This window comes from Homo sapiens, chromosome 2 (assembly GCF_000001405.40).
Source record: "Homo sapiens chromosome 2, GRCh38.p14 Primary Assembly".
NCBI classification, from domain to species: domain Eukaryota; kingdom Metazoa; phylum Chordata; class Mammalia; order Primates; family Hominidae; genus Homo; species Homo sapiens.
In genome coordinates, this window is record NC_000002.12 from 239,926,404 (window position 1) to 239,942,347 (window position 15,944).

The 15,944-nt window shown below is 52.5% G+C and overlaps 1 protein-coding gene across 1 annotated transcript in view, besides 1 other annotated feature; it reads right to left on the reverse strand.

Moving 5' to 3' along the window:
* Positions 1–15,944, reverse strand: part of NDUFA10 (NADH:ubiquinone oxidoreductase subunit A10) — a 132,901-nt gene that overhangs the window by 33,962 nt on the left and 82,995 nt on the right. The window lies entirely within an intron of this gene.
* Positions 2,501–2,722: a silencer, noted in NCBI's record as "fragment chr2:240868321-240868542 (GRCh37/hg19 assembly coordinates)". NCBI's record gives its function as "represses an EF-1alpha promoter that drives an FKBP-Casp9 reporter gene in an ReSE screen in phorbol 12-myristate 13-acetate-treated (for megakaryocytic differentiation) K562 erythroleukemia cells {active_cell/tissue: K562(+PMA)}" and the evidence as "EXISTENCE:reporter gene assay evidence [ECO:0000049][PMID:32094911]".

Here is a 15,944-nt window from a genome sequence, read left to right on the forward strand (position 1 = left end):
CCCTAGTGACACTGTAGCCAGCATATGTCATAGCTTGTCTGTGATGAGGCTGGTGTAAGCAAACCTACTGTGTGCCAGTCATATACAAGTCTAGCACATGCAATTATGTACAGTACATAATACTGATGAAAATAACTGACGATATTTCTGGATTATATTTTTAGTACACTATACTTTTTATCATAATTTTGGAGTGTACTCCTCCTACTTATAAAAAAAAATAGATACCTGTAAAACAGCCTCAGATAAGTCCTTCAGGAGGTATTCAGAAGAAGGCATCATTACCACAGGGGAGAACAATTCCATGTGTGCTACTGCTCCTGAAGACCTTCCAGTGGGACAGGAGGTGGAGGTGGAAGACAGTGACGTCATATTAGTCTGTCCTCATGCTGCTAATAAAGACGTACCCGAGACCGGGTAATTCATAAAGGAAAGAGGTTTAATGGACTCACAGTTCCACATGGCTGGGGAGGCCTCACAATCATGGTGGAGAGCGAAGGGGAAGCAAGACACGTCTTACATGGTGGCAGGCAAGAAAGTGTGTGCAGGGGAGCTTCTCTTTATAAAACCACCAGATCCCATGAGACTGATTCACTGTGACAAGAACAGCATGGGAAAGATCCACCCCCACGATTCAACGGCCTCCCACCAGGTCCCTCCCACAACACATGGGGATTATGGGAGCTACAATTCAAGATGAGACTTGGGTGGGGACACAGTTATACCCTATCAGACATGGATGATCCTGACCGTATGTAGACCTAGGCTAATGTGTGCATTTGTGCCTTAGTATTTTTTTAAAGTTTTAAAAGTTAAAAAAGTAATAGAATAAAGCTTATAGAATAAGGATATGAAGAAAGAATATAGAGCTGTAACATGTATTTTAAGGTAAATGTTATTATAAAAGAGTCAGAAAGTTAAAAAATATCAAAAAGTGTATGAAGTAAAAGACTTAGAGTAAGCTAAGGTTAGCTTACTGAAGAAAGAAAACTTTTAACGATAAATTGAGTTTAGCCTAAGTGTGCAATGTCTATAAAGTCTGCAGCAGTGCACAGTCATGTCCCAGGCCCTCACGTTCACTCCCCACCCACTGGCTGACTCACCGACCTAACGGTGCAGTCCTCAGGATGTATCCCCGTCATTACACAAAGCATGACTGTATTGCCACTCTCACAGCCTGGAGGGGGCTCAAGGGCATTAGGCTGAATTTTAAAAGTTAATCTCTAAAGGTCACATGCCGCACAATTCCATTTATACAAAATTCTCAAAATGACAAAATCACAGAGCTGCAGAACAGCTTCCTGGTTGCCAGGGTTAGGGGTGGGGCAAGGGGAGGAGCCTGGGTGGCGACTGGGGACAGCCTGAGGGAGATTCACACGATGACATCAGCGTGGCAGCCGCCACAGGTGGCAAAATTCTATAAAACCACATGGAACAACAAATGAGTGTGAGGAAAGCTGGCAAAAACTCGGCAAGGCTGGTGGGCCCATCACTGTCAGGTCCCTGGTACCCCAATACGGTGGCTGTGGGGGTGCTGGGCAAGGACACAGGGGACTTCTGCATGCTGCGTTTGCAATTTCTTGTGCATGTGTAGTCATCAAATTAAAAGTTAAAAGCAAAGACACAAAACACCAGTACCCAGGTAAAGAGCGACTGAAGTCAAGAAGGGCCCTCCCATCCCACATGGGAAAACAGCAGACCCCAGCACAGCCCCCACCACAAACGCGAGTAAGGAGCAGAAGGTCTGTACAAAGATTCCAGGACTTTAAAAAAAAAATAACAAAAGAAGAAAACAAATGTAACAGAAAAAAAAAGGCAGGTACCAATGCCACTTTGAAGGCATAATTGTTCCATAACAGAAGAAAATGTATACCTCAACTGCTTTCATGTTTTCCAAGAAATAAAGGAGCACATGAATTCCATGAATCATGACTAAAGAAAAGAAGGCAAAAGACAAGATGAAATACAGAGCTGGAAAGAGAACACAAAGAGGAAAAAGGAAAACCACTTGCGATCTGAAAATTACTTCTATTGTGATTATTATTCTGTGAAGTCAGTTCCTCATGGCAGGAAATCCCCCGAATCCACGCCAGACTCCTCGGCCCTGGCCCACCGCGAGCCGCTGCTGGGTTTAATGCAGTTCCTGTCTCCCACCCTGGAGCTGTGACAGCGACATCTCGTTTCCAACTATGCTCTCCCCACAGGTGACCTCATCCAGGGCCCTGGGGGACACTCTCACCTGTGATTCCCAAGCTGTCTCCAAGCCCTGCCTCACCTGCTCCAGAGGCACCCAGCCAACCACCGGACATCCCGCTCCAGGTCCCTCTGTGCAAGGATGTCAGACCCTTCCGCGTTCCCTGCAGCGTCCCTTCCAAACAGGTGGTATCCGTGTTCCAAGCAGCCCAGGCCCAACCTCGGAGCCTGTGTGGTTGCTCCTTCACCCCACTCCTCCCATCAGCGGATCCTCCGCGAATCCTCCCAGCCTTGACTCCGAAACGCTTTGTCTCCCATCGCCCCGCGGCCACCCGGATCCCACTCCCGAGGTCAGGAGCCCCCGACTCTTCCTCCTGCACCTACTCCTGTCTCTGTCCAGTGCTCCCCACTGGCGCCCGGTGAGCTGAAGACAAGAACCAAAGCAGGCTTGAACCCCCTCCCGTGCCTTCCCACTGCTCTTTAAAAATGAAGAGAACGCTGCATCTGGCTAACGAGATCGTAACAAGATCGCCACCCGGCGTCTCCAAAGCCGGGATGCAGCCACCCAGGCGAGACGCTGCCCTGACACTGCAGTGATGTGCGTGCTTGGCACCAACCGGTGGCCTGGCTGCTGCCCTGGAGACAGGGACAATGGCTGCATCAGCCACCCATGGGTTACGGAGGACGGTACCGGGCAGAGACGCAGACACCGATGACTGAGTTGTCGAAGGTGGTTGAGAATGGGAAGGAGGGGCCAGGGTCTCACGAGGCCATTTCTCTTGTGGTCTCAGGTCTCACTCCTGAGCCTCCATAAAAAGGAAAAAATGAGTCAAAAAGAGCTCTTGCAAGGAATGCAAAATAAGCCATGGCAGTGTTTCCTCACCTCTCAACGTTATTTAATCAGTGGTGATTTTCCTTCTTGTGGGAGGCTAGTGCACCTCACAAGCCCGGGAAGTGCGGCAGCCCTTGCTGCTCCAGCAAGCTGCCCTGCTCCTCCGCCGGCCCTGCTTCTCCACCAGCCCTGCTCCTCCACTGCTCTTGCTCCTCCACCGCCCCTGCTTCTCCACCACCCCTGCTCCTCCACTGCCCCTGCTCCTCCACTGCTCTTGCTCCTCCGCCGGCCCTGCTTCTCCACCAGCCCTGCTTCTCCACTGCTCTTGCTCCTCCACTGCCCCTGCTTCTCCACCAGCCCTGCTCCTCCACTGCCCCTGCTCCTCCACTGCTCTTGCTCCTCCGCCGGCCCTGCTCTCCCACTGCCCCTGCTCCTCAGCCAGCCCTGCTCCTCCACTGCCCCTGCTCCTCCACCAGTCCTGCTCCTCCACTGCCCCTGCTCCTCCACTGCCCCTGCTCCTCCGCTGCCCCTGCTTCTCCACCGCCCCTGCTCCTCAGCCAGTCCTGCTTCTCAACTGCCCCTGCTCCTCCACCAGTCCTGCTCCTCCACTGCCCCTGCTCCTCCGCTGCCCCTGCTTCTCCACCGCCCCTGCTCCTCAGCCAGTCCTGCTTCTCAACTGCCCCTGCTCCTCCACCAGTCCTGCTCCTCCACTGCCCCTGCTCCTCCGCTGCCCCTGCTTCTCCACCGCCCCTGCTCCTCCACCAGCCCTGCTTCTCCACTGCCCCTGCTCCTCAGCCAGCCCTGCTTCTCCACCGCCCCTAGTCCTCCGCCAGCCCTGCTTCTCCACCACCCCTGCTCCTCTGCCACCCCTGCTCCTCCATTGCCCCTGCTCTGACCTTTGCCATGACCTTCACATCCCCTGCAAATTTCCTCCTTCAGCCGTGCATGCAGATCATCTCCCAGGATGCCCTCCTCAGAGACCTTTCCTGACCCCGTCCCCATGGATCCCGTCCTGATCGCCACTTCGCCGAGAGAAATGACCAGGTCACACCAAGCAGAAAGACGGTCCTGCCTGTCTGCAGGCAGTGGCTCCAGTCCCTCTGCACCCCGCTGTCCGCAGCCTCTGCTGACCCTGCCTGCCGCCCCCAAAGAGCTCTACAGACTCACAGGTGGCACCCGGCCAATCAGTGGTGAGCACCAGGAAGGAAAGGTACACAGGGCGGGGTTGTGGGAAACAGGGAGGTGGAAGGCAAGGATGCACCGGGAGCCGGACCAGAGGGCGTGCAGAAGAGTTCCTGGCAGGGGAACAGCAGGCATGGAGGCCCCGGTGGATGGGTACAGCGAGCTCAGGAGGAGGGGCAGGGTCCAGGAGGGGTGTGGCAGGGAGGGAGGTCAGGAGGCCGCAGGGTCCTGGTGGACGGGTACAGCATGCCCAGGAGGGGGGGCAGGGTCCAGGAGGGGTGTGGCAGGGAGGGAGGTCAGGAGGCCGCAGGGTCCTGGTGGACGGGTACAGCATGCCCAGGAGGGGGGGCAGGGTCCAGGAGGGGTGTGGCAGGGAGGGAGGTCAGGGGGCAGTAGGGCCCTGTGGAGAATGGCGTTTAGCTTTTTAGGGCCGTGGGAGCCTCGGAGGGTTTTGAGCAGAGCAGTGACTTGATTTGCTAAATTGAGTGCTTCTGGTCCCATTGGCTTTTCCCTGTGAGCATCTGAACAGCAACTTTCACCCTGGCCACAGGCATGAGCTCTTTGGGGCAGACCGGCTTAATCCACATGATGTAGTCTCTCTCACTTCTGCAGAAATCAAGGTGTCTGCAGGGCTGCAGGAAAGAAGCTGTTCCGGGCCTCTCTGGAGGTGCCCAGCACCCCTGGCATGCAGGCACCTCGCTCCAGCCCCTGCCCGTCCTCACACAGCCCCCTCCCTCTCCTTCGATGACACTTGTCATTGGATGAGGATGTGCCCGAAAGCCAGGATGAGCTCATCTCAGTATCCTTAACTAACATATCTGCAAAGATCCCTTTTCCAAATGAGGTCACATTCACAAGTCCCAGGTGGACACGTTCTGGGGACACCACTCGCCTCGCCACAGCGTCTTTCCACCAAGCGGGGTCTCCTCGCCACAGCGTCTTTCCCCCAAGCAGGGTCTCCACCTGCACTGTGCCCTCCAGATCTCCAAGCGCCCAAACCAGTGCTTGGCACACAGCAGGTGCCCAGTCAGTGTTTACTCAGTGAATGAATACAAGCTCAGCAAGATGAGAAGGCTGGCCCACAGGCCATAGCGGCCCCCAAGCTGTAACGTCCTGTGAGAAGACAGCTGCCCTGGGGCTCCCCAAGAGCCTCCATCCCTCTGGACAAATCACACTCACAGTACTGGGCTCTGAAGAGCCGCCCTTCATCTGCACCTCTGCTTTTTTTTTTTTTTTTTTTTTTGAGACGGAGTCTCGCTCTGTGGCCCAGGCTGGAGTGCAGTGGTGCGATCTCGGCTCACTGCAAGCTCCGCCTCCCGGGTTCACGCCATTCTCCTGCCTCAGCCTCCCAAGTAGCTGGGACCACAGGCGCCCATCACCACGCCCAGCTATTTTTTGTATTTTTAGTAGAGACGGGGTTTCACCATATTAGCCAGGATGGTCTCAATCTCCTGACCTCGTGATCCACCCTCTTCGGCCTCCCAAAGTGCTGGGATTACAGGCGTGAGCCACCGCGCCCGGCCTGCACCTCTGCTCCTTTAATCACACATGGTTCCTTTTTCATGTTTATTGAATAGACATCTTTATATTTTGCGAAAAAATGGGAAACAAAAACCCAAATACCCTTTTGCCTCTTAGCACCAAGAATCTATTAATTCATTGCTTGGCTGAAACCCTTATTTTGACACTTGTGCTTGGCCGAAACTGTTGTACCTGTGTTTCTCTGCATTCTGCTTTTCTTCTAACCATTTAAAAAACTACTTTCCAAGCACCTGCAAAGCCTACACGGTTACCATGCGACAGCAGTAAAACATTTCTGCGCTTTTCCATGACACGGCACCCCCGCAAGCCCGCAGGCGTGTAGATTGCTTACACGTTTCTTGCTATTTTAGAAAATGAAGCTGTGAGCCCTTTTGTAAATTAGGTCTTCCTCTGGGATAAGTTTCCAAAAGTGAAACTCTCTGGTCAAAGAATTTTTTTTTTTTTTGAGACGGAGTCTCGCTCTGTCGCCCAGGCTGGAGTGCAGTGGTGGGATCTCGGCTCACTGTAAGCTCCACCTCCCGGGTTCACGCCATTCTCCTGCCTCAGCCTCCCGAGTAGCTGGGACTACAGGCATCCGCCACCATACCCGGCTAATTTTTTTTGTATTTTTAGTAGAGACGGGGTTTCACCGTGTTAGCCAGGATGGTCTCAATCTCCTGACCTCGTGATCCACCCGCCTCGGCCTCCCAAAGTGCTGTGATTACAGGTGTGAGCCACCGCGCCTGGCCTCTGATCAAAGTATTTAATGGGCTTTATTAATCCATTTATTTACAAACCATTTTTAAGAGCCTACACTATGAGCGAGACTCCACCGTACACGCTAGAAGCAGCCCTCAGTGGGGAAGGCAGGCTATGACAAGTGACGGCAGCCCGTGTAGGTTGTGGTCTGTCTCCCGTGGCAGGGCCTGGGATGGGGGCATCTCAGCACCTCCCAGCACAGGGGCAGGTCCCAGGCAGTAGCAGGTCACATCGGAGTGAGGGATAGGAGGCTAGGGAGGGACCCCCAGGAGGCAAGCAGTTTGGATGCTGGGAGCCCTTGCCCTTCTCAAGGCTAACAGCAGTTGAGGAACAGAGGAACTCTGCCCACCCAGGCCATATCCCTCCATCCCATCTGCCTCGGGTCCCTCTTACACTGCTCAGAGATGCTCCAAGCTCAGGCCTCCATCTCTACCCTTCAGGAGTTCCCTGTCTCGCTGTCTCCTGGGGACATCCCAGGCCACAATAATGATGTGTCTATACCTGAGGACAAAGGCTGCAGCCGGGCCTGGGGAGCGACCTGGAGCCAGCTGGTCCTGCCAGTCCTGCCACCACTGCTGTAGGCTGGGACAGCCAAGCCACGGAGCCTCCATGGTTTTTTTTTTGTTTTTTTGTTTTGTTTTGTTTTGACGGAATCTCGCTCTGTCACCCAGGCTGGAGTGCAGTGGCGGGATCTCTCAGAGCCTCCAACTTAATGCACAGCTACACTTGCAGGAAGTCCCTGCAGCCTCCTCCCAGGGCTACGGGGAGTGTCGTGTAAAACCCTGTGTGTGAAAATGCTTTGACAGGCATCAGGTGCTCCAAGGATCTAAGGAATGATATGTAGGGCCCTGTACGGAACGAAGTCAGTGAAACAGGGGCACGTCCCAAAATTACAGGGAAGAGAGATTAATCAAGGTAACACCATTCCATAAGCGGATTGGATCATAGATTTGAATGATCCAGTTTTGTATTTTGAATTTTTTTAGAGAGGGCGTCTCACTCTGTCACCCAGGCTGGAGTGGAGTGACACGATCACAGCTCATTGCAGCCTTGAACATCTGGGCTCAAGCAATCCTCCTGCCTTTGCCTCTAGAGTAGCTGGGACTACAGGTGCACACTGCCAGGCCCGGATAATTTATTAATTTTTGTAGAGGTGGGGTTTCTCCATGTTGCCCAGGCTGGTCTTGAGCTCTTGGCCCCAGGCGATCCTCCTGCTGGCCTCAAGCAATTCTCCTGCCTTGGCCTCCCAAAATGCTGGGATTACAGGTGTGAGCCACCATGCCTGGCCAGATTTAAGTAAACTAATAGGCACCATCTCCTGCCCTGGATCCTAGTCTCCACACTGTCCCATGAACTCTGCCTCCCACATGTGATGACACCAGCCACTTATCAGCAGAGTCACTGCCATGTTGGGAGGGAGTGGGGGGCAGGTGGGTCTTAACCTTCTCCTAGTTCCCACTCCACCTCCTGCCTCCCCACCCCCACCCCCAGCCTGACGAACCACGAACCAAATCTCACTCTGCACATGTGGCATGAAAGGAATTGTAACAATACGGGGTCCTTGACGTCTGGCTTCTTTTCTCATCACCTTTTCATTTTATTTTTTTATTGACGAATTGTACATACTCATGATGTTTGGATCCATATAATGTACAGTGATCAGATCAGGGTAATTCGCTTACCCATCATCTTAAACATTTATCCCTGTTTTGTACTGGGAGCATTCAACATCCTCCTTGTTTGAAGCTGCATGTGATTAGTAAGTGCAGAGTCATCCTAGAGCGGTAGAGGGCGCTGGACCTCATTCGTCCTGTCAGCTGCGATTGTCTGTCCTTTGACAGGTCTCAGCGCAGCGTTCTCACTGTGACCTCCGTGCAGCATCAATCACTTCGTTCCTTTCTCTGGCTCTCTCTGTCCACCGCATGGACCAGCCACCTCCGCCCCCACCCGTTTTCCACACATGGGCCTGCAACTCAGACAACCCCACTCCCTCTCGCTCACCAGGTTTCAATCCAAGCTCCCACTGGGGCCTAGGAGTGTAGTTGGTGCAGCTGCCGCGTGCCCACCAGCCTGGCCCTCCCCACTTTGCCTTACCCACAGCCTCAGAACCACCTCTGGCGCCCCTGGAATGGAGGCCTCCCCTGCATGGATGCTGCCTGCTCTTCCTGGGAGAGTCCTTCTCTCTCGCCTCTGGTCCGAAATAGCACCTGCCATGTCCTTCCTGGCTGTCTCTCAGCGCTGGTTCCCAGGATGCAAAATTGAACGGGGTGCCTCCCTCTGTGGCCAGCCCTGCCCTGCAGGACCTGGGCAAGTATTGGAAGGCCCTCGTTTCCCCCAGTCCCTGCCTGCCCTGTGGTGTTAAGTGTAAAGTAAGAGCCAACCCAAAGGCCACTCAAACACATTTGGTGAACAGATTTTAGCTCATCCAGTGAAAATCCACTTTTGTAATGTGGATGGTGACCGGTGCCACTGGATGGGAAAATTACAATTCATCGCTGACCGGATTCCCTGGGCCCTGCAGGCCGACAGGGCCGTGTGGGGGTCAGAGATCGGGCCTCGGGGAGCAGCCTGCACTTCCCATTTCTGCATTTGTCCCCATCGCTCAGCTCATGGTGCGTAATATTTTCCCACAGAGTTGAGGACGGGGACTCCCTGGCTGTCTCACTCCCACTGACATAACGATAGTGATGACATGGTTTGGCTGTGTCCCCACCCAAATCTCATCTGGAATTGTAGCTCCCATAATTCCCACATGTTGTGGGAGGGACCTGGTGGGAGATAATTAAATCATGAGAGTGGTTTCCCCTATACTGTTCTCATGGTAGGGAGTAAGTCTCACAAGATCTGATGGTTTTATAGGGGAAACTCCTTTCTCTTGGCTCCCATTCTCTTTTGCCTGCCGCCATGTAAGACATGCCTTTCACCTTCTGCCATGATTGTGAGGCCTCCCCAGCCACATGGAACTGTGAGTCCATTAAACCTCTTTTTCTTTATAAAATACCCGGTCTTGACCGGGTATGTCTTTATTGGCAGCGTGAAAACAGACTAACACACAGGGAAACTGTTGTTTTCAGAAACGCCCTGTGTTGCAATACCTGGAAGGTGCTTCTCAATACAGACCTTGTTATTACTCCCGGCTCCCCCAGGGCTGGGCAGCCTGAACCAGGTGCTGGGATCCTGCAGTTATTACAAGGGCAGCTGTGGCTCCAGCCCCAGAACTTCTCCTGTTCAAGAGCACTCATGAGGGTGCAGGAAGAGAGTGAACAGTGACTGTTGGTCAGGCCAAGCGGAGGTGTGGGCAGCAGATGCCCTGTGCATGCTGACTCACACAAGCAGCTTCCGGGCCCCAGGATCTGCCAGGGTCTCTGCTGGCTTTCCTCAGGATGGCAGGGCAGCAGGACATGGTAGAGGCGGCAGTGTCCCCAGGCAGAGAATGGGCATTGCTCCTGGTGTCTCCTTAAAGGTAAGTGGGGGCAGGGAAATAAACAGGCAGAGCACAGACGCTGTTAGGGCAGGAGGCTGCTCTGCGTGACACTGAAACGGTGGATACGTGTCATTATGCGTTTGCTGAAACCCATAGCAGGCACAACACCGAGGGGGCCCTAAAGTAAACTGCAGGCTGGGGGATGACGACGGGTCAGTGCAGGCTCACACACCAGGACAGGGACACTCTGGTGGGGAACAAGGATGCAAGTGTGGGGCAGGGGGCATGGGGAAAATCCCTGCCTTACGCTCAGATTTGCTGTGAACCTAAACCTGCTTTTAAAAAAGTAAGTCTTGGCCAGGTTGTGGTGACTCATGCCTGTAATCCCAGCACTTTGGGAGGCCCAGGCGGGTGGATCACCTGAGGTCAGGCGTTCAAGACCAGCCTGGCCAACATGGCGAAACCCTGTCTCTACTAATAATAAAAAAATTAGCCAGGCACCGGGTGTTGCGGTGCATGCCTGTAATCTCAGCTACTCGAGAGGCTGAGGCAGGAGAATTGCTTGAATCTGAGAGGCGGAGGTTGCAGTGAGCCACAGTCGCGCCACTGGACTCCAGCCTGGGTGACAGAGAGAGACCCTGTCTCAAAAAAATAAAAATAAAAAAGAAATAAGTACAAGTGATGTAATCTTTTCTGGAAGCCCCAGCTGCCCTCCCCTCGTGTGTCCATGGCCACATGCCCCCTCTTGACGAATCAGGAGCAGAGGGGAGGGCTGGGGGCAGTCCGCAGTGGCCACCCCAGAGACGCTCACCGCACAGCTGTGATTGCAAAATGGTCAAGAACCTGCCAACATGAGCCCATGCACTCTACTTTGCCATCAGTTTTTAAAAGCAACATCACTGAGCCATAGCTTCTATACCATAAAATACACCCATTTCGAGTATGCAACTCGATGTTTTCAGGAAATTTACAGAATTGCGTAACTACTGCGGTATGATTTTAGAACATTTCCATCATCTGAAAAGGATGCCTCATGCCCATGGACAGTCACTGCCCGTTCCCCTTCCTCCCAGCCCCTGGCAACCACTCATCTACTTTCTGTCTTCCTGAATTTGCCAGTTCTGGACATGTCAAGTAACTGGCATCATACACTATGTGCTTTTTGTGGCTGTTGTCAAGGTTCATGTACGCGGTGGCCTCGATCCCAGCTTCATTCATTTTATGGCCTAATGAGTCTGCCATGTGTATGCACCACAGTCCGCTCATCCAGTCATCAGCTGACGGGTATGTGGGCTGCTCCCACTTTTTGGCTATTGTGAATAATGTGCTCTGAACATGCATGTACAAGACTCTGTGAGGACATGTGCGTTCAGTGCTCTTGAGCTGATCCTGATTCTACTCATTTATTTTTTGAGGAACCACCAAGCTGTTTTCCAAAGCAGCAGGGCCATTTTACACCCCACTGACAACACACAAGGGTTCCAGTTTCTCCACATCCTTGTCAACGTTGGTTACCATCTACCTTTTTATTACAGCCATTCTGGTGGAAGCCCGACTTTAATTGTAACAAATTATTTGTAACACACCTCACAGCTGATCATGACTGCTCACAGCACCCCAATGTGCCACACTGTCACTGGCTGGGGCCACCGAGCCATGGTTTAAATCCTTGGAGAGCAGCCGCAAATACTCACTGCTGTGCTTCTGCGGCTCTGTTTGGTTGGTGGCCTTTTCCCTGCATCCCTGACGCCAGGACAGCCTCGGGGATAAGAGAAGGGAGCCCAGTGCTCGGCCGCAACCCCAGCACCCCACTCCCCAGCAGTCCCCACTTCTCTTCTCGGACAGCTCCCCCATCTGTCAGGGCCTCAGTTTCTCCATCTGCAAATGGGGGTGATAACAGCATGTAGCTCACAGCACCGTGATATGGAATAAACCTGTAGCGTGGCAATGGCAGTGCTCTGCCCACTACAGACACCTGCTGTCCAGGCTGGCCGTCCCACACCTCCCGCCACTCCGCATGCTGCACAGGCCCCCCTGAGGACAGACCTCACCTGCACTGAGGTGGCCGCTGGCCTGGGCAGCCACCGACACACACGGGGTTTATGCTTTTGGTCTCCAACTTGTGCAATAGGTCAGTTGCTTCCTGGTTTGTCAGAGGCTGTATGATCAATGGAGAAGCTCTTCTATGTGTGTGAGCTTCAGGATGCCTCTTCCAGGATGCCCTGGGAGGCGGCTACTTCCAGGGCAGCGTCTCTTCCTGCCCAGTGGGGTCTGCTCCCGGGCAGCTGTGGTTAATCCACTGCCATGATCTCTGGATCTCAGTCTCCTCTCTGCCTTTGCATGAGCTGCCCTGGGGGGCTGCAGGGTGGACTTGCGCAGATGCCGGCAGAGGGGACCTGTGGATCAGTTAAACGGGGGCGGCTAGGAAACGAGGCAGGGGAGGGTGCAGATCCTGGCAGGAGTAAGGAAGTTTCACCCAAACGGCACAGAGAAGACGGCGCAGCGAATGCACCATCCAGCGAGCATCGGTGCACAAGTGCATGAGCTGAGCAACACATACCCAGCACAGCCAGAGGGTCAGCGGCCCCCGCGGACGGCTTGGTTCCTGTTTAGCCGTTGAGTTGGAGGAAACATTCCTCGGCGGAAAGACGCTGCCTCACGAGGCCCCGCAATGCTCAGCCGTTGGGTTGGGGGAAACAGTGCTCGGCGGAAAGACGCTGCCTCAGGAGGCCCCACAATGCTCTCCTTTCGCAGGGCTTAGGCAGACGTAAGCTGGTGGCCCTGAGCGCCCAGGCGTGGGGAGGATCCTCGGACCCGCGGACAGTCAGGATCCAGCTGCCCGCGTTTCATGCCCCGGGCACTGTCATGATCCTCACTGAGTGGAAAGGGAGGCCTGGGGGTCTGTCGGGTTCCTGCCTTGGTGAGCCCCAACATGCCAGCCAGTGTCTTCTGGACACTTTCCAAAGAGGTGACTTATTCAAACCAGCCCCAGCAGGGCACCTGCTGAAATGCTCCTGGGTTTGTGGGGAGGGCGAGTGGAACTCGCGGAGAGAGAGGGGTAGAACCACAAAGGAGCAAAGCCCACATCTGTCCCAGGAAGTGAGGCAGCTGCAGTGGAAACAGCTCCCTGGGGGGCCACCCGCGTACTCCAACGTGTCTGCCATTGCTGAAGGCATTTCTGCTTTTGCCACACTTTTTGTTTGCTTTTGCATTTTTAAGGAGAATCATTTTGGGGGGATAAAGATTATACAAGTTCATTATGAAGGATTTGACCCATGCAGAATATTCAAGAAATGGTGAGAGGTTATTTGTAATGTCTAAAGTTTCCAAATAGGAAAGGAATTTCTCCACATCGACAAGGAAGGGACAGCTATCCTAGCCAAAGAGAAGGAAAGGATGCAAACAGGCAATGGAAAGAAGAAATCCAGGGGCTACCAGGCACACGGAAACAGGGCACTACCCACTGGAAGCACAGCTATGCCTGGCCCTGGGGACGGTCAGAACGCTGATAATCCCAGGTGTGGGAGACGAGGGCCACATGGCCCCTCCTGGAACCGGCTGCAGTGCAGGCCAAGCTGCGATTCCATGGGGCAGCCAGCCCTACTCAGTCAGGGCTGACCAGGAGAGGCCTGGCAACAAGTCTGCCCAGGCTTGGCAGCTCAGCCCGGGGAAGGGTCATGTCTTGCTCAGGTGTCTGGTGTGACTTGGGGGTAGGCTCTGCTTCCCACCGCCTCTGAGGAACCCAGGCGGCTGAAAGCTCCACCATCCACAACAGGGGTTGGCAAACTTTCTGTAAAGGGTTGGAGGGTAAAGACATCACATCCGGCTTTGCAGGCCATACAGCCTCTGTTACAAATACTCAACTCCAGGCAAAACCAGCCACAGATGACACGTCACAGCTGTGTTCCAATAAAGTTTTATTTACAAAAACAGGTGGTGAGTGGGATGTGGCCCCCGGGCCAGTTTGCCAGCCCTGAGCTAAAACACTGGCAGTCACTGTGGCAAGGGAAGAGAGTGTGTGGCATAAGGATCTCACCATAGCTTATCATTGCTTTGGCCCACTAATGACACTGTCACGGCTATTCCCAGCCTGGGGACAGAATGAGCCACATTGCTGGAAGTACGCTCTGAGTTTCCAGAAGGAGGCAAGGATTGAATATTGATGAACATCAGTAATGCCCAGCACATCCAGCAATGCTATTCTTTGATAAATTTCTCCAAGTAAATTTCTACACAGATCCATAAGGAGATATGTGTGTTAAAAGCTAATTTTCAGAAAAAAAGTAAAATCATGACTCTCATAGAAATATAAAAAGGAACACATTTGAAATTTAGTCTATTCACTTATCAAGGAAGGTATCAGACAGATGTTATCACCAGTTCAAAACAGAATCCAAAGAATAGCCACACTTAGAGATCAGAGATATTTAAATCAATATGCAAGTGAAGGCAAACCGGGCTCTCTCCTGGGGATGGGAGGTATTCACTGGATTTCCACTATACAGCACAGAACATTCCCGTCTATATGAATTCTTTTGTACTGCTATCAGTGACCTACAAGGAACAGAGTTATAAGATAGTTCTAAATGATGACAGAGTAGAATCCAATAACCTTGAGGAGTGTCCTCTAGGCAATGCACAGTTTTCTGTGAACCACAGATATTCTTCTCCATGTGTGAGGTTCTTCCTGCAGCACTGCAGGCCGTCTGGGTACCCACCACCCAGGAAGGGTAAGCGAAACTGGACAGCAGCAAGGTCACTACAAGGTGCAGAAACAGGCAAGCCAGATGCACCCACGGCAACAAGGAAGGAGCTTACAGAGGCAGTGTTGAGTGAAAACACACAGGCAATAGACGTATGACCCATAACCATTTACGTTCCTTAAAAATGCAAACACACGAAACAACACATTATGTCAGAACATATGCAAACAAAAAGATCTCTCAAGCACAGGGAATGCTGGCCTCCCTGGACAAGGGCAATGGGAGTGGCACATAGGGTAAAGTATCTTCACAAACAGGGACAGACACTTCCCACGCCCGATGATGTGAATGCACCGGGGGCACAGAACTGCGGCTGTTCCACCCTCGGTGTCAGAGGTTCCTTCCTCGACATCAAAACGACAAAGTTCAAGGACGTGGTGGCTCACACCTATAATCCCAGCACTTTGGAAGGCCAAGGCGGGCAGATCACCTGAGGTCGGGAGTTGGAGACCAGACTGGCCAATATGGTAAAACTCCATCTCTACTAAAAATACAAAAATTAGCTGGGCATGATGGCGCACGTTTGTAATCCCAGCTTCTCAGGAGGCTGAGGTGGGAAAATGATTGAACCTGAGAGGCGGAGCTTGCAGGGAGCCAAGATCGCACCACTGCACTCCAGCCTGGGCAACAGAGTAAGACTCTGTCTCAAAAAAAAAAAAAGAAAAAAAGGTTCAAGGAAGAAAGGAAAAAAAATTCCAAATTCCTCTCTTCAGAAAAACCATCTACATCAGTGAACAACATCCTGATATTTTTATGCCTGTATATCAACAGAAACACAGGTATGCTTTCATGAAATGGGATCTATCAATGCTATTTTAAATTACATTTAATTTATTTTAATATCAGTTTTCAACATAAGCAAATGAAAGTAAAACTAGTGAATTTTCTGCACCAAAACAGTATGGACCTTAGATTTTAAAATCCTCTGAAATGAGAAAAACAAATGGATTCTGCATATTGAAAGATCACACCATGTGTGCACAAACTATTTCACTTGGAATCACTTTGGTCTGAACACCAGTGATTCTTTTGCCGGACTGCCTTTGTCCACCTTCCTATAAATTAGTTTTACATATACAAAGTTCACAACAGTTTTCATCCCTCTACCACGTTTACCTTTACTTACTGTGGCTGTCTTCAGCCTTTCCTCTAGGGCAGCGGTGTTCACGCGGTAGTGTGCGCTGCAATCACCTTGCTAAACACAGATGCTGCTGGGGCCCACCCACCAGGGCGCCTGAGCCAGCAGGCCTGGGTGCAGCCTAGACACCTG